This window comes from Homo sapiens, chromosome 15 (genome assembly GCF_000001405.40).
Source record: "Homo sapiens chromosome 15, GRCh38.p14 Primary Assembly".
NCBI classification, from domain to species: domain Eukaryota; kingdom Metazoa; phylum Chordata; class Mammalia; order Primates; family Hominidae; genus Homo; species Homo sapiens.
In genome coordinates this window covers 62,984,197-63,007,106 of record NC_000015.10, presented here as the reverse complement: position 1 = coordinate 63,007,106, position 22,910 = coordinate 62,984,197, and the positions used below count along the sequence as shown (strand labels likewise).

The 22,910-nt window shown below is 44.0% G+C and overlaps 2 annotated features.

Annotated features, from left to right (window-relative positions):
- Nucleotides 17,157-17,657: an enhancer, noted in NCBI's record as "H3K27ac hESC enhancer chr15:63281649-63282149 (GRCh37/hg19 assembly coordinates)". NCBI's record gives its function as "activates a minimal SCP1, AML or CMV promoter by ChIP-STARR-seq in primed H9 embryonic stem cells {active_cell/tissue: H9 hESC(primed)}" and the evidence as "EXISTENCE:reporter gene assay evidence [ECO:0000049][PMID:30033119]".
- Nucleotides 17,658-18,158: an enhancer, noted in NCBI's record as "H3K27ac hESC enhancer chr15:63281148-63281648 (GRCh37/hg19 assembly coordinates)". NCBI's record gives its function as "activates a minimal SCP1, AML or CMV promoter by ChIP-STARR-seq in primed H9 embryonic stem cells {active_cell/tissue: H9 hESC(primed)}" and the evidence as "EXISTENCE:reporter gene assay evidence [ECO:0000049][PMID:30033119]".

Sequence of the window (22,910 nt, the reverse complement as noted above, 5' to 3'; positions counted from 1 at the left end):
TATGCAACCCAGTACAGTTGGATTCTGGGTTCTCGATAGTTCTTACCAGTCGCACTGGCTCTTGGAAGTTGATGGGTATGTGGCATTCCCTAGTCGGGCCTCTCTCTTTGCTGGACTACTTTGAAAGAGATTGGGTAGGGCAACATTACACTACCCCACACTATATCATGCCCCCTCTCTTTTCCCTCCCTCAGTGTTACCACTCGACATTACTACAGCTCTCCCCTCCCCTCCCCCTGACTCCTACTACTGGGATCTGTGGGAGCCTGTCTGTGTGCTAGGCACTGAATCCTTTCTCTTCCAGTGGTGCTATGAAATAAGTATTATTACCATCCCCACCAAAGGTGATGAAACTGAGGCTCACACAGCTGCAGAGTGGCAGAACCAGGACGTGAGCACAGGTCTAGCTGAGCCAAAGCTCAAGCTCTTGCCACATGCCTGGACGTTTGAACAACAGAGAAACAGGCCTGGCTTTTCTTCGACCATACTTGACTTTCAAGGCAAAATTGTGAAACTGGAAAAAGTAGTTTACACAATTTCCCTCTGAATTGCCTGTTCTTGTCTTTGCCTTTCTCCCATGCCCTAATCCCCCATGGCGGAGTCTAATACCCTAAGGCATGCTCTGGCCTCTCTGCTCCCTTAGACACCTCATTCTCACTAAGGCAACAATGCCTGATAATAGCATAGAACGCTGCCCTCACCTCACCCTCAACCCTGAAGGGCTGTGCATTAGCATGTGGCTGTGCGTGTATGTGTGTGTGTGTGTGTGTGTGTGTATGTGTGTGTGTGTGTGCATGTAAGCCAGTGTTTTTCACTCAGTTTTCCTTGCCTTGCCCTGTTCTTTCTAAGGGCAGGACTGTGCTTTGCCTGACAGACCAGGGCAGTTTCCTGCTCTATGTTTACAGCTTTTATCATAGTAGCGTACAGTTTGAACTCAACACACCTACAAAAAAAACCCTTAAACCCACACTTTAGCCAAGGCCTGATAATATTTAAAGAAACACGGATTTTGAGTGTTTCATAGTTTTTCTAATATATACTAAAAGTTTATTTATGCTCTGTTCTCACTCATAAGTGGGAGTTGAACAATGAGAACACACAGGCACAGGGAGAGAAACATCACACCCCAGGGCCTGTCAGTGGGTGGGGAGTAAGGGGAGGGAGAGTATTAGGACAAATACCTAATGCATGCAGGGCTTAAAACCTAGATGACGGGTTGATGGGTGCAGCAGACCCCCATGGCACATGTATACCTATGTAACAAACCTGCACGTTTTGCACATGTATCCCAGAACTTAAAGTAAAAAAAAAAAGTTTACTCGTGCTCTAATATCTCCTATACTACAGTGGCATGGGAGGGACCCACATTTTGGGAAGTGATGGCTTAATGTTCTGCCATCTACTTGAGACATTTTCTAAGGATGTTGAGTTTATTTATTTATTTATTTATTTGGTGAGAGTGGATATCTTTGAAGATCATGAGCAAATGTTTAGGGGTATATACATTGATATAACTCTTTAGGAAATTAGGTCGGTGATACATATTAGGGGCCTTATAACAGGTAACCTTATACTTATTATTCCGGGGAATAATTCCTGAGATAATAACCCTCAAAGCAGGCTGGGTGCGATGGCTCATGCCTGTAATCCCAGCACTTCAGGAGGCCGAGGCAGGTGGATCATTTGAGCCCAGGAGTTTGAGACTAGCCTGTGCAACATGATGAAACCCCGTCTCTACTAAAAATACAAAATATTAGCCAAGTGTGGTGGCAAGCACCTGTAGTCCTAGCTACTGGGGAGGTTGAGGTGGAAGGATCACCTGAGCCCAAGAGGTCAAGACTGCAGTGAGCCATGATAGTGCCACCGCACTCCAGTCTGGATGACAGAGTGAGACCCTGTCTCAAAAAAACCCCCAAACAAACAAATAAAACCAACCAACCAACCAACCAACAAGGAACTCAAAGTAGAAAAGGCTTGATTTGTTTCATAATGCCATTTACAATAGCAAATGTTTTGGCAGCAATCTGAGATTCCAATGATTGGGAGGTGGTTGCATAAATCATGGCGTATCCTTTCTTAGAGAATAACATGCAACTATTAAAATGATGCTCACTCTATAAAATTAGGTGAGAGAAGCAGGACACATAAATGAATATCAAACATCTAAGTTGATCATTATTATATAAAATGAAATATGCATAAAGGAGAGACTTGCAAGAGATATTGCTAAATGTTAGCCAAAGGTTGTTCGTAGATCATTTTCCCCCTGTAATTTCTACGTCTTTATTATCTCCAAGTTTTAAATAGTAAATTTCAGGGTGGAGGAATTAAACCATTGACAAGGTTATTCATGTATCTTTATGTTCATTTTCTGGACAGGGATATTGTGATGATGGCCCTGATTCATTTAGTTGGAGCCAAAGTTTCCAAAAAAGAAGTTGATGCTCTTGTTATTGATGTGTGTGTGTGTGTTTAGTGGGGTGTGATGTGAGGTGAGTGCCTCCTGAGGAACACTGAAGATTGACAGGGGGTCTCTAGGAAAGGGAGACCCAAATACAGTCCCCCAGGGTCCCATGCACAACCTGCTCATCACTGCCCTGGCAGTACTTGAAGACACATTGTCCTCTAAAAGAAACACCCAGCCTGACATCTCAGATTACTGCCCAGAGCCAGGGAAAGAGAGTGAAGAGATTCCCCAGGGGTGGGGTGCCTCCTCCTGGATGTCTTCAGGACAGTTCATTTGGCCATGGAGGTTTTGGAAGGCCCTAGCTGGAGCCCTGAGGTAGGCACTGAGTTGGGCCCTGCCGGAGCTAGGAAACAAGCCTGGAACAGAACAGCCTAGCAGCAGAGTAGCTGTTGACTGAGTGCCTATAATGCATGTGCATACGGTGAGCTAGTCCTTGAATTTTTCTAATTTAACACTCATAATCATCCTAGGAGAAAGGGTTCCAGCCCCCATTTTGTGGATAAGGAAACAGACCCAGAGAGGTTAAGTCACCTGTGCAGTCACACAGCGGGGATTCACACTCAGGTTCAGCTGACTCCAACACTCCCACACTTTCAGTGACGCTGCCATGAATCTCCATGGAAGGGAACTAACACTATTGGCCCCCTCCCCTGCTTGACCAGTTCTGTCAAGCACTGGGTAATTGGGGATGTAGTAATAAATCAAGCCATACTTCCCGGGGGATACAAATCACATTGCTGCTTCCACTTTTTAAAGTCAATTTCATCTTAGGCTTCTTGGGACTGCCACCAATGCCTAGCCACAGAGAGGGCCAGGGTCCATGGAAAGTGCTGAGATGCTGATGTGTACACATGTGCTCTATTGCGTCCTCATGGACCGTGCTCTACTTCATCCAACAGTCATGCTGATTACCTTCATATTAATGGGACAATGTATGGTTGGGCACCCCCCTTCCTCCCTGCTTCCTTCTCACTCATCGGCTTTCAGCCTGGAGCACATACCTGTGGTTAAATTATTAAACCTTACAACAGGATAGAAATGATGACAGCTGTAATCCCTACACACACACACACACACACACACACACACACACACACACTTTCACGCCACTAACAATTTGCTGAAAATGCTGACTTAATAGTATTAACCTAATGGCTGGGTTGAAATAATGATAATAATGATAATGATGATAGTAATAGTAAAAGAATTGCTCTCAAATCATTCTGACAGGTATTGCAGCTTCAGTTGCCACGCTCATTCCCTGAGAAAGAATTTGCATTTTAAGATTCAGTTCGTTTCAGGCAAACGGCTCCCCAGGAAGATAAATGAGCCTTTAATGAGGTTTTTCCTTGCCCAGAGTGAAATCTTACTCCTTTCTGCAAAAGCAGGTGAACACCAATTTCCAGACAGGATTCAGGCCAAACCTCTACATTTCCAGACTTCCAGGGGGCAGACTGGAAAATGACATCTATTAAAAATCCTGCGCTCATGCCTGTAATCCCAGCACTTTGGGAGGCCAAGGTGGGTGGATCGCCTGAGGTCAGGAGTTCAAGACCAGCCTGGCCAACATGGTGAAACCCCGTCTGTACTAAAAAATCCAAAAATTAGCCAGGCATGGTGGTGGGGGCCCGTAGTTCCAACTACTTGGGAGGCCGAGGCAGGAGAAGTGCTTGAATGCGGTAGGCAGAGGTTGCAGTGAGCCGAGATCGTACCATTGCACTCCAGCCTGGGTGACAGAGTGAGACTCTGTCTCAAAAATAAATAAATAAATAAATAAATAAATAAATAAATAAATAAATAAATCTTGGGCTCTGATTTAAAGTGGTCCCCAGTGGGGTGTCATTGCACTGTGGCGGTGTTTTGGATGGGGGCATGATGTGGCAGGAATGTGGCTTTCTGGCTCTCTCTGGCCCAGCAATGGTGGGAGCTTTTTTGGAACACCCCTAAAAACCAGGGTAAGTATCTTCCCTCTAGCCATAGCAGGCAGACCACGGTTTGAAATGCTCCAGCCAGTTAAAGAAGTAGCATTGGGGTGCAGACCCCAAAGGTGTCTCCACAAAGACTTGCTGAATGCCTACCGTATGTGGTTCTACACAGATGAAGATGACTAGGATATAGCTTGAACCCAGGAGGTGGAGGTTGCGGTGAGCCAAGCCCACGCCATTGCTCTCCAGCCTGGGCAACAAGAGAAAAACTCCGTTTCAAAAAAAAAAAAAATGCTATTTGAGAGATAGTCTTGTTCAGCCCTTCTAAAACTCTTCTGTTCACTTGCCCTAGTTTTAAGGGTTCCCATCTGGTATCTTAGTCTTGGGATGTCCCTGTGCTGTGGAGTTGTCTGTGGGACAGTAACCATATTTATGTTACTCTTTACTATTTTGCTATATAATATTCTATTGTTATTAAGTTATAGTTTATAATTTCCATGATTATTCTTCCTTTTACCCATTAATTATTTAGAGGGGCATTCAGAAATTTTCTTAACACATGGGTTGTGTGGAAATGTTTTGGTTACTGACGTTATAATTTTATTGCACTGAGGTTTGTGAATATGATCTGTATAATATCAATTCTTTGATGCCTTTTGGTATTTTCTTTGTGGCCTAGGGTACATGGTTAGTTCTTGTAAGTATGTACTTGAATAGCTGTTTATTCTTTATTTTTGAGGTGCAAGTTTTCATAAATAACTGTGGTTCGACTCTGCTGTATCCTTCACAATTTTTTGGTCTGATTCAATGCTTTCTGAGAGAAGTGATTAAAATCTACCACTTTGATTATTCATTGTCAATAATATCTTTTTGTCGGTTTTTGCTTTATATATTTCGAAGTTGTGTTGTAAGGTTACACAGGTTCAGGTTAACTATATTTTTTTTTTTGGTGAATTGTTCTTTATCAAGACCTTTTTATTGCCAAGTTTTTGTCTTAAGGCTTATTTTGTTTCAAATTAATATTGTCAAGATCAACTTCTTTTAGTTAGTATTACCTGGAATATTTTTTCTTAATCTTTTGGTTTTGATCCTTTCCTGTTTTTGGTTTTAAATGTGTCTTTTAGAATAGCTTTTAGCTGGATTGCAGTGCCTAGACCACTGCCTAGTATGCATAGTAGGTGCTTAATAATTATTTGTTGAATGAATGAATGAAAAAATTAAATCTAATCTGAAAATTTATCCTTTAACAGATGAGTTTAATCTGTTATAATTCTTGTGATTATTGATATTTGACCGACTTCTACCACTTTTTGTTTTCTAAATACATGTTTTATATTTCCTTCTCTTTTTATTTTCCTGCTTTATTGACTTCTACTGGATTAGTCGAATAGGTTTTATTTCATTTCCCCTTCTACTATATTGAAAGTGATTCCTTTTCTGTTGTTGAGAAGTGATTGAGTTCTCAATCACTTCCTATCTCTGTGCTACCAAGAAGAAAATAGAGAAAAGAAATAATAACAGCTATTTATTGTATATCTTGGTCAACATTTGGAATAAAGGACATTTGCTAACTATGCCCTTTGATCAGCACAATAACCCTGTAAATTCAATGTTAGAATGCCCATTTTACAGATAAGAACTTCGAGATTCAGATAGTTTAAGTGACCTGTCCAAGGCCCTACAGCCAGTGACCAGCAGATCTGGGGATGAAACTTGTTCTCTGTGATTTCACAGTATGCGTTTCCTGCTGCCAGCCACACTGCTGATGCAAAGGCCAACCCCAGATTGCTGTAGGACAGTTATCACAGTATTTCTTAGTTCCCACAGCCATATTCTGGTCACCAGACCTTGTTATCTCCGTGTCCTTGTGATAATTCAGAAATGGAAATGAATGAACACAGGCCTGGGGTACAAGTTCTGGGCACAAGAGAGCCATGAGCTGAGAAGTAAACAGAACCCTTAAAGCCCTCCAAAATTAAATTGGTCATAATCTGAATGAATTCTGTCAACTCTTTTTAATAACATCTCCAAATCAGCCACTTACTGTGTTGGGAATGCATTCTCTTCTCCCATTTGATACTTAGCTGGAGCCCGTTAATAAGCAGACAAAAAGAACTGTAATTCTTGCTACTATCTCTGCAAATTGATTTTCAGCTATTTGTTCTTTCTTCAAACAGCTTCCAATCTGCTTTGATTGTCTCCCTCTGGAAAGGGTCTGACGGCCCAGATTAGAGAGGGGGAGGAACATAGGGCCACATGGTCACTGGCTATAGGAGAGCAAGGACAGAAGCTTCTGAAGCTGTATTAATATTCAGTGTCAGTCGCAGGATGGATGGGAGAGGGAACAAGCTTCGGGAGCCTTTGATGAGGTCACCCACAGAGGAGGCAGGTGCTATGAATAAGATTACCCACAATCCCACAAGCTCCCGATGAATTCCCATTGCAGTAAACAATGTCCAGTGGAATGGTAATCCTGGGGTTGGATGTCCTGCTGATTTTGCAGGGGTACAGGTGCATCTTTGTCTGAAAGGGCGGTGTTCCTTTCTAGGATGAGAGTATGAAAGAATGTGACCAAATTTCTGAAATTCCATTCAGGGACTGCAGCCATGCCCAGTAACTGCACCCGCAAGCGTGTCTGCGAGGCGTGCAGCCCGGGCTGGCCAGAGGGCCTCACTGGGCCCTGTTCAGGATTTCATCTCTAGTGGAGGCACATGCGTCAACTCGCCCTTGAGAGGCACTTTTCAAAGTGGGTACCATCTGAATCCAAGCCAGTTGGTGGGGGTACAGGGTTGGTTGTGCCTGTTAAAATGTGGATCTGGGGCCCCACCCTAGACTTACTGAGTCAGAATCTAATAGGAGGATGCCAGGAATCTACATTTCCAATAAGTGGCTGGGGTGATTTTGGTACCAAGTCTAACTTGTTCTTCAGGGACTCTCTGCAGGTGCCGGCAGCCTCCTGTTGGGTGGCTGGGCTGGTGCGAGGGGGCACATACTGTTAGAGTAGATGAATAGTTAGACATAAACAAAAAAGAGAGCCCCTGGGGAGGAAGTTTTGGAAAATGTTATGTTCCAGAGACTACTTAAAACATGTATGTTAAATATAAACAGAGAGGAGGGAAAATGCCAATGCAGAAAAAGTGCCCCCAAACGCTCCTTAAGACGTCTTGTAATTTTGTAGTTAACCTGTCAAAATGTAGCTAGCTATGTATTAATAGAAAGGTAAAAAGGGCAAAGAAAATATTCCTAAGAAATCCACAGGCACAGTAAGTACAGTTGTAACCCCCCTGTGACCCTTCTGTGGTGGCGGTACATGAGCAAGGCCACCATTAGGTAAGGTTCGTATTGATTACCTGGCCCTGCACAAGTGTATCAATGACAGTGAGGGAAATTCCACAAACCTAGGTGAAAACTAGGAGGGAGCAAAAGTGGAGACTTAAAACAAAAGCAGAAAACTAAACAAAGAAAAAGGTGGAGTGTTAAGATGGAGGCAGGAGCTTAAAGAAACAGTCTGGCATAATAAAAACTGCAATACAAAAGTATCAGGGCTGCTCCCAGCCGGAAGAGCCCAGTCCTCTCTTGGAGTTTACTCTTATTTCCTTTTGCTTACTTTACTAATTGGTCTCTTAGCCAAATTCTTTCCTCCAGAAGGACTAAAAACCGAAGACTCCACACTTCCCAGTAACAATAGGAAGTGACAGAAGGGCCCTGGATGAGGAATCCTGACCCCAGCTTTCTCCTTAGCTTGCTCTGTGACTTTGAGCACGTCATGTTGTCACCGTGGGCCTCATTTTCTGGTCTGTTAAGTAAGTGCCACCCAGAGCTTCTTAGTAGAGGAACAGGACCAGAATTAATGGCCCAACTCTCTGTTTTGGACATAAGAGTCTGAGGTGGGAGTAGAACTTCTGACTGGAGGTAATAATTACAGCTCGTTTTCATCGCATGCTTACTGTGTGCCAGGCACTGCTGTAGAGATTTAGGCATGAGTATTTTTCTTTCATCACAGCCCCATGAGGTTGCACTTTCATATTATCAGTTTACAGATAAAGAACATGAGGCGAAGAATAGTTAAGGTCATAGCTAGTAAGAGGTGGAACAGGATTCCAAACGCAGACACTCAGACACCAGAACTTTCGCTGTTACAATAAAGATCTACTATATCTCTCCATCGTAAATGTCCTGCTGGCAATTGGAAATACCTGAAACAGCTAAGAGGCTTGCTCATCAGGCAGATGTGGCAGTCATCAAAATAGAGGTGACAGGTGGAAAGCCAGAGAGATATTTAAAGAGTGTGGAGTTGCAGCACCAGTAAATACCTGTTGACTTAACCAGCCCAGGGTAACAGCCCTTTGAACTTCTGTATGGTTGTAAAAATGTGACTTTGTTGAGGGGAGTTTAAAGCATGATTGCAGGTAGGTGTAGAAATCTTGGGTGAGGGGAAGGGGACATTTGCTAGCACCCTGCCCCCACCTGCCCAGCATGCTCTAGAGGTAATGGCCCTTTCCTTTATAGAGATTTAGGGCCGGAAATAGGTCCCTGCTCATTGTTTCAGAGCTCTGAAGACACGTTTGGGAAGTTACAAAGCAACCATGATGCCATACTTCCTTCACCGTAGAGACTTGTCCAGTAGATGACACTGGGTGTAATTTGGTCTCAGGCAGAACTGGGCCAGAATTTGATAGTGGGTAAAGCAGGTCCTTGCAGAAGGCTAAATTACAGGGGGTAATGCCTCCTTGCTAGTCCTCCTGGACTAGCAAGGGGCTGGATTTTCCATGGAAGGGAATGACCTTGTTGGTGGCAGATGCCATTCTATGGCCTTCTCATCTCTGTGTGCCCTCCTGGGGGTGGGGGTGGTCCCTTTTCTGCCCCAGCGTCAACTCTCACCTTCATGATAAGATTCCATAATCTTCGCCTCTAGCTTGGACCTCTCTCTGGCCTCAGGCTTTTATTTATATCCACCTCCTGGACCTCTGTATGTGGAGGCCCCGCTGGTAACTCACGCTCCATTTGTCCTGGTCTATTTCCCACAACTCCTGCCCTCTTTTGCTCTTCTCTTGTTAATAGAAGCTGTGTTCACCAAATTCTTCAGTGGTTTCCATCAGCTGCAGGGGAAAGCCCAGACTCCTGGGCTGGAACTCAGGGATATTCAGGTGCCAGACCCACCCACCTTTCCAGCCCCATGCCCAGCCCTTTGCATTCCAGCCACACTTGTGCCCTTTTACACCTTGGTGTCTTTGACTGATTTTTTATTAGGGTGCCTTTGCTTTCTGTAGCAGTCTGATTGCTCCTTTTTATCCTTCAAGACCTGGCATAACACCTTAGAGAAGCTTTGTAAGACTATAATCCTCTCCCTCCCCAGAAGAGGTCCTCCTTCCTTGGGGCTCCCTTGGCCTTTTTTTTTGGAGATACAACCTTGCTCTGTCGTCCAGTCTGGAGTGCAGTGGTGCAATCACAGTTCACTGTAGTCTTGACCTCCCGAGCTAAAGCAACCCTCCCACCTCAGCCTCCTGTGTAGCTGGGACCATAGGCACTTGCCAGCACACCAGGCTAATTTTTAAATTTTTTGTAAAGATGAGGTCTTGCTATGTTGCCCAGTCTGGGCTCAAACTCCTGGGCTCAAATGATCCACCCACCTCGGCCTCCCAAAGTGCTAGGATTATAGGTGTGAGCCACTGTGCCCGGCCTCCCTTGGCCCTTTCTGCATGCCACTAGTTCACGTTTTCCATGTTGCATTGCTAATATCTTTTCCCACGACCTTCCTGCTGGACACCAAGCTTCTCCATGGAGAGAAGCTTTCTGTCAAAGACTCTCACACTCAATTTTGTGTTCCCAGTCCCAGGAAAATGCTCAGGAGATGTGGTTTAAGAAATGAACCCATGGTTCAACAAATGGGTCAGAATTTCTGGGAGAATGGGCCTGTGGTTTACTGGGCCCCTCAGGATTTTATCCAAAGCATAATGGTGGTAAAGGGAAGGACAGATGCCTGGAGAGGCTTCCCAGATACCATGCCGCCCAGGACTCTGCATGTGTGAGGCCCTTGGGCCTCCCTGGCCCATCCTCCCTTCCTCCCCTGTTGTCTCAAATCTTGCAACAACTCACCACCTTCCTGTCTCAGCCCAGGACTCTCCCTTTGTTCCAGTCCTTTTAGAAGTCTCCTCACCTCTTCTAGGAAGCCTCTCTTCGTTAAATAGGATGGGGGAGAAAAGATGAGCTTTCCTAAAGCTCCTAAGTCAAGCATTTTCCCCCTCTCTGGCATTTCAGATTAATTGAGAGAGTGAGGAAGAGGAAGCAAAAAAGCACAGATTTTAGTCCTGTTAGGCTCTTGGTCCCATTAGAGAAGCAGTTAGTTCCCTAAACCCTTCATTAGGATCATGCAGGTATTTGTTCATCATACGGCTCCTGGGCTCCATTCTAGATCTGCTGGATGAGAATCTTCAGGGTGGGGGCCTGGAACCTCTATTTTTAACAAGCACCTTGGGTAATTTTTAAAAATCAGCAGACAAGTTTGGGAACTCTGTTTAGGTGCCAAATAAGCAAATTAAATAACTTTCTGTTGGGCTCATTATATGAGAGTGCTATGTATTAATCATTATCCTTGTAGCAAGAGTTTATTGAGCACTTACTATGTGCTTGTTCAATTTCTTTCTCTTTCTTTCTTTCTCTCTCTCTTTCTTTTCTTTCTTTCTTTCTTTCTCTTTCTTTTCTTTTTCTTTCTTTCTTTCTTTCTTTCTTTCTTTCTTCCTTCCTTCCTTCCTTCCTTTTTTCTTTGTCTCTTTTCTTTTATATAGAAATGGGTTCTTGCTATATTGTCTGGGTTGGCCTTGAACTCCTGGGCTCAAGTGATCCTTCTGTCTTAGCCTCCCAAGTAGCTGGGACAACAGGCATGCACCACTGCACCTGGCAATAATTTTGAGCCATTTATATGTATTAACTCATTTGTTCTCGATAACAACCTTTTGAGGTAGATACTATTATTACCTTCACTTAACAGATGAGGAAACTGAGGCACAGATTTAAGGTATCCAAGTTCACCCAGCTAGGAAGTGGAGAGATAGGATTAAAATCTAAGCAGTGTGGATTCTGAGACTTTGCTCTTTGCCTTTGACACACAAAAGAGGAACATTACCAGAGCAGGGCATGCTGCTCCATGCTGCAGACGATGAATAAATAAATGTTCACTGAAAGGAGAAATTGGAAACAGACATGATGGGAATGTTTGATTTAGTAGCCTGTTCTCTGCCATCAATAACTTATTCATGTTCACAGCATCCCAGGGGAGCAGTTCTGGGGGCAGTAGTATTCTCGGTTTTGTAGATGAGGAAATAAGGCCAGGAAGATGCAATAGTCAGACTTCAGCACAGACCCCACCTCCATTCAGTGGATGGCCAGGGAAATCTACAATCTAATACTCTGCATTCACAGGAAGGATTTCCTTTTACAGGTCCCTTTTCACATTACATCACTGTCTTAAGGCTACAGGGATCTAGTGCAATGAATCATTTCTGGAAATATGTACATTGGAAGATAGTAGTGATGACCAACCGATAAGCTGACAGCCCAAGGCTGGCTTCTGTTCCTGTAATACCACAATCTCAATGGCTTCATCAGGTGGCATCAGGTGAACTGGATTGCACTGCTCTGTGACCTTGGTTCCATGCCCTTGTCCACCTCCTCTCACACTCTCAGTGAATCCAGATGAATTCCAGAATATGTTCCAGTTGCTGTTGGCTGGAGGAAATCACCTCCTTCCTAGGAAAGCACCAAGGATGTGGTGTGGGGCAGAGCAGGCTGAACTCCACAAAGGGAAGGGAAACCCCTTAACACCATTTGCCCGGGTAGACTTTTGAAGGACTTCAGGCACTGCTGTTCCTTCCCTGAATTGCTGAGAAAATGCCTAAGACAGCAGGGTGAGTAGTCGGGGGGTGAATGAGCTCCCCAGTTAGGCTGGCGCCTGCCTGCTCCAGGCCCTGGTCTCCCTTGGGATTTGCATCTGGGGCTGACCCGGCCACGGGTAAAAAGCAGGATATGAGTCTCTCCTCACTCCCCTGACACCTCTGAGGCAGTGAGTGGGGAGAGAGTGGTCCCATCAGGGAGAGCTGGCCTACCTCTGTATACCAGGCCCAGCCTTACAGTTTAGCTGAGCAGACTGTGATGTGACTGAACAGAAATCCCTAATGGCCCATTGCATGTTGGCTCTCTTATGCCTGATTTTTCCACCAGTATTACCAGGAGCCATCCCCCAGAAGGCCCCTTTTGAATGTCACTTTGGGATCTGAGAGTTAGAAGTCAAGTCCTCGGTGGTGATGGTCCCGGGGGCACATCTTGGTCCCTGTGTTAGGTAGCTGGGATAGAGCAGATGTGGGCCCTCTGAGAACAGGATCAGGAGAGGGAGCTGCTGGGGTGCACATGGGGAGGCAAGGGGTGAAGGAATGACGAACCAGAATTAGAATATCCTAACTGTGTCCTGCACTGCCTCAACCTTTCCCTTAGAACACCGCTTTACAATGATGGCTTCACTGGAATCAGGTGGGCACTTTTAAAAAAGTACTGCCCACTCCCACCCAAACCACTTTCTGATGTTGGTAGTCTGGGTGGGCCTGGCACCAGTATTTTTATGATTCTCCAGTGCTTCAGATATAAGCTAGGGGTGAGCACCACCGCTTTGAGAGCGTCTGCAGGTCTCCCGCTCTGGCTGGGGGGATCATTTTTTTTTCCCATACTCAATGTGGGCACAGCTTCCGTCCATGGAAAAAGCAATGTCTTTAGCCCCTTCACTAATTGGTGAGCTAAGGACCTCTATGCAGGAAGAATTTGCAGGCCTACAGTTCTGTGAATTTAGCCTGCAAGTTCCATGAATGCAGGGACCACACCTACCTTGTTTTCCTGGGACCTCAGCACCTTGTAAAAATAAATGTTTGCCATCAGAGTGCTGAGACAGCTGCTCATGTTTCCTGGAATCTTTTTTTTTTTTTTTTTTTTGAGATGGAGTCTCACACTGTCGCCCAGGCTGGAGTGCAATGGCATGATCTCGGCTCACTGCAACCTCCACCTCCCGGGTTCAAGTGATTCTCCTGCTGCAGCCTCCCGAGTACTGGGATTACAGGCACCTGCCACCACACCTGGCTAATATTTTTGTATTTTTAGTAGAGACAGGGTTTCATTATGTTGGCCAGGCTGGTCTCAAACTCCTGACCTCCTGATCTGCCCGCCTTGGCCTCCCAAAGTGCTGGGATTCCCTGGAATCTTTTGATCTGGACATGCTCACTGCTGTAAGTGATCCTTAGCTTCCTCAACAGTAAAATGGGTTCAGCAACAATGACGTCTACCTCACAGTGCTGTGAGGATCAAGTGGGGTTGGTACGGAAAAGAGCATTAGAAAGTCTGATCCAGCTGTGACTTGTTGCATCGCCCCCTTGCTCTGCAGCATGAGCTCCTATTCAATCTTTAAAACCCAGTTCAAATGTCACTGATCTGCAAATTCTTCAGAAGATTAACCACACGCTTTACACAGAACTCCAGTATGGCACTTGTCATTCTACATTCAACGTGATTTTAGTCAATGGCTACTGAGCCTTTTCTCTCCCAGGCACTGGGTCAAAAGCTTTAATGCCGTGATTTGATACTTATTCATCTACCTCGAAAGAATTGGAACTCCTCAAGGGCAGAGGCCATAAGGTGAATCAATATATCCTCCACAATGCCTAGAGGGGTTTTACTTCTGGAAACGATTTTTGGTAACTAATAACATGTCTGTCAGTACTTGTGTTGATGAGTTTTGAGTAACTGTTGGGTATTTGTAGGAAAAATGAGATCTTGGAGTTGGAAGGACAGTGAGCAAAGGGGATAGTGATTTGGAGCAGATGGCTTTAGAATGCAGGGCAAGGGATGGTGTAAATGTCACCTGGGCCCCACAGGGCACTTTGAGTTGATGAGACAGGCTGTTTTGGAAGGAAGACTTTGCAGGTGGATGGCCAAGGCCATATAGCCCGGTGAACTGGGGGAAGCTTGAGCAAGATCCACTCAACTATAGTGGGAATGTTAAATAAAGACTATTCCAAACTCGATCCATCTGAAGGTTCAGAGTTTTTCTGCATGCTTGAGATTCCAAAGGGACCCAGTGGAGTGAGACAATATCTCAGAACCATAAAAGTGAAAGGCATAAGCTTAGGTTGGAAGATGACTACAGAAAACAATAAATGTCTTATGGTGTAGGGTAGCAGCAATGGAGTTTAATGGATTTATAAGCCTCTTATTAGAAGTTCAGACAAGGGAGAGCCTTTCTAGTGAAAATGGTGTAATTCTGATAATAAAACTGACAAAGACACTTTCCAAAAGGCATGCCTCAGACATGAGTTCTGCAGGGTGTTAAGAGGAATTATGTGAAATGGGGGCTCTGTGATCGATCGTGTTGGGAAATGCTGGATTATACAAATTTAAGCACAGCATGTTCCCTTGCTCTTAACTCTAGCAGATCTTAGAATCTTTAAAATGAGAATGTACCTAGTGAATCTCCTGGAAGGATATATAGTATTTCCCAAACCTTGCAATGCCAGACGTTTCCTTTCCTTTTCTTTTCTTTCCTCTCTCCCCCTTTTAATGTCTTTTCTTTTCTTTCCATTTCTAGTGGCACAACTCATAGCAACAGTGTTCTGTAGAACACACTTTGGGACATGCTGCTGTAAAGTCATCTCACTTGTATGTATAGCAGTTGTGAAATCCTAAATATAACATAAATGAATCAAATTCAATAGTGCATTTTAAAATTTCACCAGAGGGGCCAGGTGTGGTGGCTCATGCCTGTAATCCCAGTGCTTTGGGAAGATTGCTTGAGGCCTGGAGCTGGAAACTAGCCTGGGCGACATAGCAAGACCCGTCATCTCTACAAAATGTTTTTCAAAAAAATTAGTCAAGTGTGATAGCACATGCCTGTTCTCCCAGCTACTCAGGAGGCTGAGGCAGGAGGACTGCATGAGCCCAGGAGTTCAAAGCTGCAGTGAGCTATGATTGCACCACTGTACTCCAGCCTGGCCAACAGAGTGAGATCCTGTCTCTAAAAAAAAAAAAAATTCACCGAAAAAGAAGAGTTTTGATTCCAGAAATATAAAGATATTTTAGTGTTAGAAAATTATGAGGTAATTCTTAACATCAACATGTAAAATAAGAAAAATACAATAATCTCAACAGATAATGAACATGTATGTGATAAATTTCAATACCAATTCTTGATTTAAAAGTCTAAGAACTAGGATTAGAAAAATAGATCCTTAATGATATAAAAATAATCCATGGTAAATTAAGATAAGATCACCGATATTATTACTATTAACATGATTCTTGAAGTTGTACAGTAACTCATGAAAAAGTATTACAATTATTCAGAGAGTAAGATAATAGCTAGATGCAGAATATTTTTTCCAAACCATAGTTCAAATTAGAAATATTTAGAGGAAAAAGATCCCAATTCCCAATGGCCCAACAAAAAATAAAAAATTTATAAAAACCTCAACAAGAATGTTTAGGACCCACTTGAAAGAAAACTTTGAACTTTATTGAAAGATATTAAAGAAGGTTTGACTAAATAGATAGCCATATATTATTTTTTTGAGTAGAAAATCCGAATACTGTAAGATGCCAATTTTACCCAATAAATTTATAAATTTAATGAACTTGCAATCCATAATGGGCTTATCACAATAAGTCTAAAATTAGTTGTTTATCACAATAAGTCTAAAATTCATCAGGAAAAAGAAGTAGTTGAGAATAATTTTTAAAATCTTGAAAAAAGGGTGATGGAGGATTTGGCCCACTAGGAATTAAAGTCTATTATAACACAACAAGAGTGTAAACATTATGGTATGCGGGCAGGAACTGGCAGGTGCAGCAATGAAACAATGTCACCTGGAAACATATTCTAGACTACGTGTATATAGTAGTGTGTATATGAGTTTTAGACTACATATGTATGTGTTTATATATGTAGTCTATATATACATACATATGTAGTCTAGAACACATATACACACTAAGACGCAGAACTGAACACATACACGCTAAGATACATTCGCACACACATACACACTCTGACAAAGAACGGGAAGGAAATACGGTAAAGAGTTAATGGAGGGTTTATGAGTGGTGGGATTATGGGTTCTGACTCTCTTCTTGGTCTTTTTTGTACTTTTCAAATTTTCTATGATGGACACATTTTAGCCAGCTAATGAGAAAAACAGTAAATGTTGTGCGTAAGTGTGTATGTGTGTGCATGTGCAAACGCTTAAAGAATGTGCTCCATTAAATAGGAAGGCCCCCTGGGAAAGAATACCCTGCTGGGCACGGTGGCTTACGCCTGTAATCCCAGGATTTTGGGAGGCCAAGATGGGTGGATCACCTGAGGTCGTGAGTTCGAGACCAGCCTGACCAACATGGAGAAACCCTGTCTCTGCTAAAAATACAAAATTAGCCAGGTGTGGTGGTTCATGCCTGTAATCCCAGCTATTCGGGAGGCTGAGGCAGGAGAATCGCTTGAATCCGGGAGGCAGAGGTTGCAGTGAGCTGAGATTATTGCACCCCAGCCTGGGCAACGGGAGCAAAACTCCGTCTCAGAAAAAAAAAAAAAAAAAAAAAAAAAGACTACCCTTAATGCCGACACACTGATCTCTTCCTTCCCGGTGTGGGCTGCTGTGAGTGTGGAAGGGGTGGTAACGAGGGCCCAGGCTGTAGGGGTGAGAGGGCCCAGGCGGTAGGGGTGACAGGGCCCTGAAGGGAGAGAGGGGTGTAGAGGAGAGAGGCTTCAGGGTGGTAAGGAGGAACGTTGCCCTTTTGCCCTGAGCTGGGAATTATGAATCCAAGAAAATGACAAAGTCGTAAGCTGTTTTCCTTGGCAAAGGAGCTGTGTTCTGAGGTTATAACATTGCCTCGAGGATTAAATGATGGTGAGTGGAGGAAGAGGGGGAGATGATTAGTCTTGATCTGTAAAGTTCACCCCCTATGACTTCAATAAAATGCCCAACTGGCAAGCGAGATTGAGGGAGTATTTGTAGAAGTTGGCCCTAAATGTGGGGTGTGAGCAGCAATTGTTGGCACACATCCTGGGGGCTGCTGTGGCTCTCTGTTGGAGGACTTGTGCCCAGAGCAGGCAGAGTGGGCATGGAGTGATCTTTCCAGTGCTGGCTCCTGCCGGTCTCAGAGCCTCAGTGTGTGCCTGGGCAGTGTGTGCCTGGGCAGTGTGTGCTGTGCTGAGGCGTGTGGGCTGTGGAGGCAGAGGGCTCTGGATTCCCTCCTGACTTTTCCACTTGCCAAGTGGCCTTGTGCAAGTTATATACTTACCTTCGCTAGCTGTAATGTCTGGAATGGAGATGGTAACTCCTGTTTTCCTTTAGAAACTCCACTTGCCCCTTAATTGAGATTTTCTAAAACACTCGTGGGGGATTCAAGTTTGGGTCAGAGAAAAAGGAGGAAGAAAAAGGGAAAACATAAATAGCCTTAGAGCAATAATTTGCCCTGTCAGACCCAAAGAGACTTTGTTAAATTCTATAATTTCTGGAATGGCAGTCCTAGAGGTGGTGGCCAGGCCAGTCATTTGAGAGTTGGGGGCCGGTGAAAAGGAGACACCTAGGATCCTGCTTCAGGCTCCAAGGACACTGGGCTATGTTGATCTTTGGTTAGAGAATCACAGACTTCTAGAACTGGAAGAGGTCTCAATTTAACAGGGAGAGACAAGGCACTAAATAATTGGCACACAAGGCTGGGCGCAGTGGCTCACACCTGTAATCCCAGCACTTTGGGAGGGCCAGGTGGGAGGATCGCACCACTGCACTCTAGCGTTGGGTGACAGAGTGAGCTCTTTTCTCAAACAAAAACAAAAACAAAAACAAAACACCCTCGGCACTGAAGATCGTGTGGCGAATTAACAGTGGATTCCTAAGCGAGGACCCAGTATAGTCCCTCTTTCTCTCAGTGTGGCTTCCTGCTTTTTTCTCCTGGTTACTTGGCTATTAATTTAAGTGCCAAATGAAACATGTGTGAAAACTTTGTATCTTCCTTGGTTTTAATTTTCTTTTAAAACACAATTTCACATAAATATCTAAGTCAAGATGATTTAGTAGAACGATCCTTTCAGGACTTCCTTTTCTCCAAACGCTGGGTAAAGAAAGACTAAAAATAAGAGAAACAACAACAACAAAAAAAAAAAACACAAGGAGAGTCAAATGCTAGATAAACAGCTCAGTGTTCATTCAACAGCACAAGGCGCAGACCCTTGGGTGAGGGTGAATGAGGCTAGGGCTGGGTGGTTCTGGGTCTTGACGAAGGCAGCAAGACTGGCCTTCTTGGCTTTTCTTGACTTAAAGGGGAGTGAAAGCACCCCATGTCAGGTGGGAACCAGAGCCAGGCCCACTCTGTGAGGTTGGGGTGGGACAGGCCTCCTTTGCCCATGAAGGGAGATTGGAGGAAAGCAGTGACTGTTGCCTGGCCCACCACTTCCTAAAGCTGCCTCCCCAGGCCTATGGAAGGGAGCAGACACAGCCATGTAGCCAGGTCCTGGGCAATGCCTGCCTCCAGCTCCGTCAGATCGCTGGAGTCAGCCCCAGGCAGAGCCTTGAGCCTCCAGTATTAGACTTGGTTGTGAACTGGGGTTCCTGGATCAGAAAGGACGCAACGGGGATACTGCCTTAGAGGGAGGAAGGGATGACACAGAGGGAGGAAAAATGCAAAACGAAACACAGTAAGCTGCAGCTCCAGAGGCCCCTGCAAGCCCAAATTCCAAAATGCAAGAGGAGAAGGGAGGCTAAGAGAGGTGGTCAACAGAACCAACAGGCGGGAGAACCCACTTCAAAGAGGTACAAGGAGAAATTGACTTGGGGGCAGAAGTCCCAGGAATCTGTAAAGCAAACATTAGGCAGCTGTGAAGCAAGATCAGATGGATATGATGAAGAAACAACAAATCCTGGAAATAAAAAATTATTAGTTAAAATGTTAAATTATCTGTAAATGACTAAAAGTTATGAGTTATTGAATAAACTCAATAATCAGGATAAAGTTTAGTTGGGTAGAGTTGAAGAAAGAGAGTAAAATGAAGAAGAGTATTGAGGACTTCACCCAGAGTACACACAAAAAGTTTTTAAAATGCGAGAGAGAACTTATGAGAAAATTAAGCTTGACGGAGAGACTCCCATATGTATCTCATTGAATAGGAGGCCAGAAGGCGAGCGTAGAGGGAATGGTGGAGAACCACTTGAGATAATGGCCGAGACTTCTCCAGACTTGAAGTAAACACAGATTGGGCCAAGTGGCGCTTTCCAGGTGGATGTGTTGGGGAGCTGGCCTTTTCTGTCAGTGCCAGACACACAGCGGGTTGCTGTTACATGTGCTATCTCATGCGATGGCCACAACCGCCTTGCGGGATAGGTGTGATCATCCTTGTTTTCAGATGAGGAATATAAGAAACCTGTGGGTGGAGAGGCTGGCCCCATGTCACACAGTCATAAGTGGTAGAGCTGAGCTTCCATCTCAGGCAGAAGTCTCCAAGTCAAGATACAATGGCCAACTTGTCCCTGTTTGCCTGGGACTTTCCCGGTTTTACCGCTGAAAGTCCCATGTCTTGAGCAACACTTCAGTCGCTGGGAAACCGGGATAGTTGACCACCCTAGGTGAAGGGCATGAACTTTGGAGCTTGCCAGATCTCAGATCTCATTTCTATACTTACTGTGTGTGCCTTAATTTTCTCATTTGCAAAATGGTAATAACAGAGGCAACAGTCAGATGAAATGGCAATTCATTTAAAGCGCTTAGCCTGACACCTGACATCTGCCATGCACTCAATAAATGTTAGATGCTGTTATTTATTTATATCATTACTACACAATTTGTGTGCTTCCCACTATGGTGCTCCACTTGTAGAGAGCAGGGCCTGCTTCTGGAGGCCTTGAATGCCAAGGCTAAGGGTACAGATGTCATCCTTTAGGACAGTAGTTTCAAAACCCGACTGCACATCAAAATCAGCTGGGAGCTTTGATTAAAACCTAGATTCTCTAGTGGCTCACACCTGTAATCCCAGCACTTTGAGAAGCCAAGGTGGGAAGATCACCTGAGGTCCGGAGTTCAAGACCAGCCTGGCCAACATGCTAAAATCCCATCTCTACTAAAAATACAAAAAATTAGCTGGGCATGGTGGTATGCACCTGCAGTCCCAGCTACTTGGGAGGCTGAGGCACAAGAATTGCTTGAACCCGGGAGGAGGAGGCTGCAGTGAGCCGATGTCCCACCACTGCACTCCAGCCTGGGTGACAGAGCGAGACTCCATCTCAGAAAAACAACAACAACAACAACAAAACAAAACAAACCTAGATTCTCAAAACACATTGTCTAAAAGTCTGATTCGGCATGTCTGGGGCAGGATCTGCTGGTCTGCAATAATTGGTCTTTGAAAATTGTTTAAATGCCATTGAAATTTTAGAAAACATTCTAATCAGTGTGTTGGGCAGTTTTGCTATGTATGGATATTTTGAGTTGCGGCAAGCCTTAACTGTGGGCACATCCACCAAGTTAATGCAAGGTTAGGGCCTCTCCTAGCCAGGAGAGGAAAAAAGCCTATTGTTTGCATTTTTTCTAGGACTTGAGCCTGCAGGAGAGTGAAACTACCAAGCAACCTGTTGAGATCCCAGATGGTTTCTAACCCACAGAATTTCTCATCCTCTTTCCATCCGTCTGTCTCAGGGACTGTGCCTCCCCTACCATGCTCCTGGCCGCCTTCCCAGGCTCCCATCTCCGCTGAGGAAGGCATTCCCTCCTCATGACCTCATCAGAAATGGTCCCTTCCCCAGGGCAGGACTTCCCACCATAAATTCTCCATCAGCAGAGGCCCCTCCGGCCAACTGAGAGCGAGCAGCGAGTTCCAGGCAGTGTTCTGTAGTTCAGCATGAGTCAACATGGAGACCCTGCCTCAGTGCATCAGTCAGCCCTGGAAGCAGTCTGGCTTAGAATGCATTTCTTACATGTTTAGAGATTGCAGAACAGCCATCAGTTTTATCCAGAACACCTGTAAATAGTTTTTTGAAACAAATTATCAGAGCCAAAAAACAAAATAATTCTTGCATCTACTCCTCTTCCTTTTTGAATTGACATATCTAAACAAAAACCAAAAGGAACACGTAAATCAGGCTTTACTGCGATGAAGAGATAGTGTCCTATCTCATTTTACTAAGAGGACATATGTAAATGCTGAGTTATTTCTTCTCTCACGACACATCTGTGTATTGTTCAGGGGACCAGCATTCTGCCAAAAACAAGTTAGGAACACTAGATAAATGAGAAGACTTTGAACTAGAGACAGAGAGATCTGGGATGTTGATGTGGCTTTGTTACAAATGGGTCCAACGGCCTCTGGGAAAGACCATCTCTCTAAGAGTCTGCGTTCCTCCTTTGTGAAGGGTAATGAGGTGGGGTGGGAGGTGCCTGGGGGTGGGGGTGGGTGGGATTAATTTAGAGTTGTTTTCCGATGAGGTAGCCACTAGCCACACGTGGCTATTTAAATTTAAATGCAAAATAATTAAAATTAAATAGAATTGAAAATTCAAATTTTCAGCTGCACCAGCTGCATTAAAAGTGCTCGAAAACTACGTGCGGCTAATGGCTACCATATTGGACAGCACAGATGAAACATTTCCATCATTGTAGCAAGTTTTATTTGCAGTACCTGCCTAGATTGGAAATCATAGTGTAGGATTCTATTCTACCTCTCCTCTGCATATTGCCCCTGTGACAGACATTGCTAATCGATCACAGCATTCTTGTCTACTATACCTTGATGTGTCTTCACCATCTTCCTCGGAGATCCATTTGTGCTCAATTGACCTGGAATATGCATGTGAGACAAACCATGTGCTTCTAGGGACCAGATCTGAGTTCTTAACCATTTTTGTGCTGTGACCCCTTTGGCAGTCTGATGAAACTTATGAAGTCCCCTCCCAGAAAAAAAAATGTTTTTAAATGCAAAAAACACAATATGAATTACCAAAGAAACCAATTACAGTGAGATATAGCTATCAAAATGTTAAAAGAATAAATGTTTGACATAATAATAGATATGCTTTTTTATTATTGCACCAAATAATAAGATCTGATGGCAGGTGATTTTTTTTTTACTTATAATTTTATAATTTTAATGTAATTTTGAAGTGGTGCTGAAAGCAAATGATATTTTAAGTATTTTGTCAAAGCTACCATGGGATATAAAAATAACTTTGATGTCTTCGATGAAACAAAGTCACAGATATTGCCAACACTATTGTGTGATGCTTCCATTCATAACTGAAGAAAATGCTAAATTTCAGTTAGTAGTTACTAAAAATAAAGATGCATTTTTCCCATTGTTAAAATAAAAACTTCAGCTGAATTAAATGTAATGGAGTTTAATTGAGCAGTGAATAATTAGCGAATCGGACAGCCCCCAGAATCATAGCAGATTCAGAGAGACTCCCGGGAAGCCTGCTGGTCAGAACAAATTTATAGACAAAAAAAGGGAA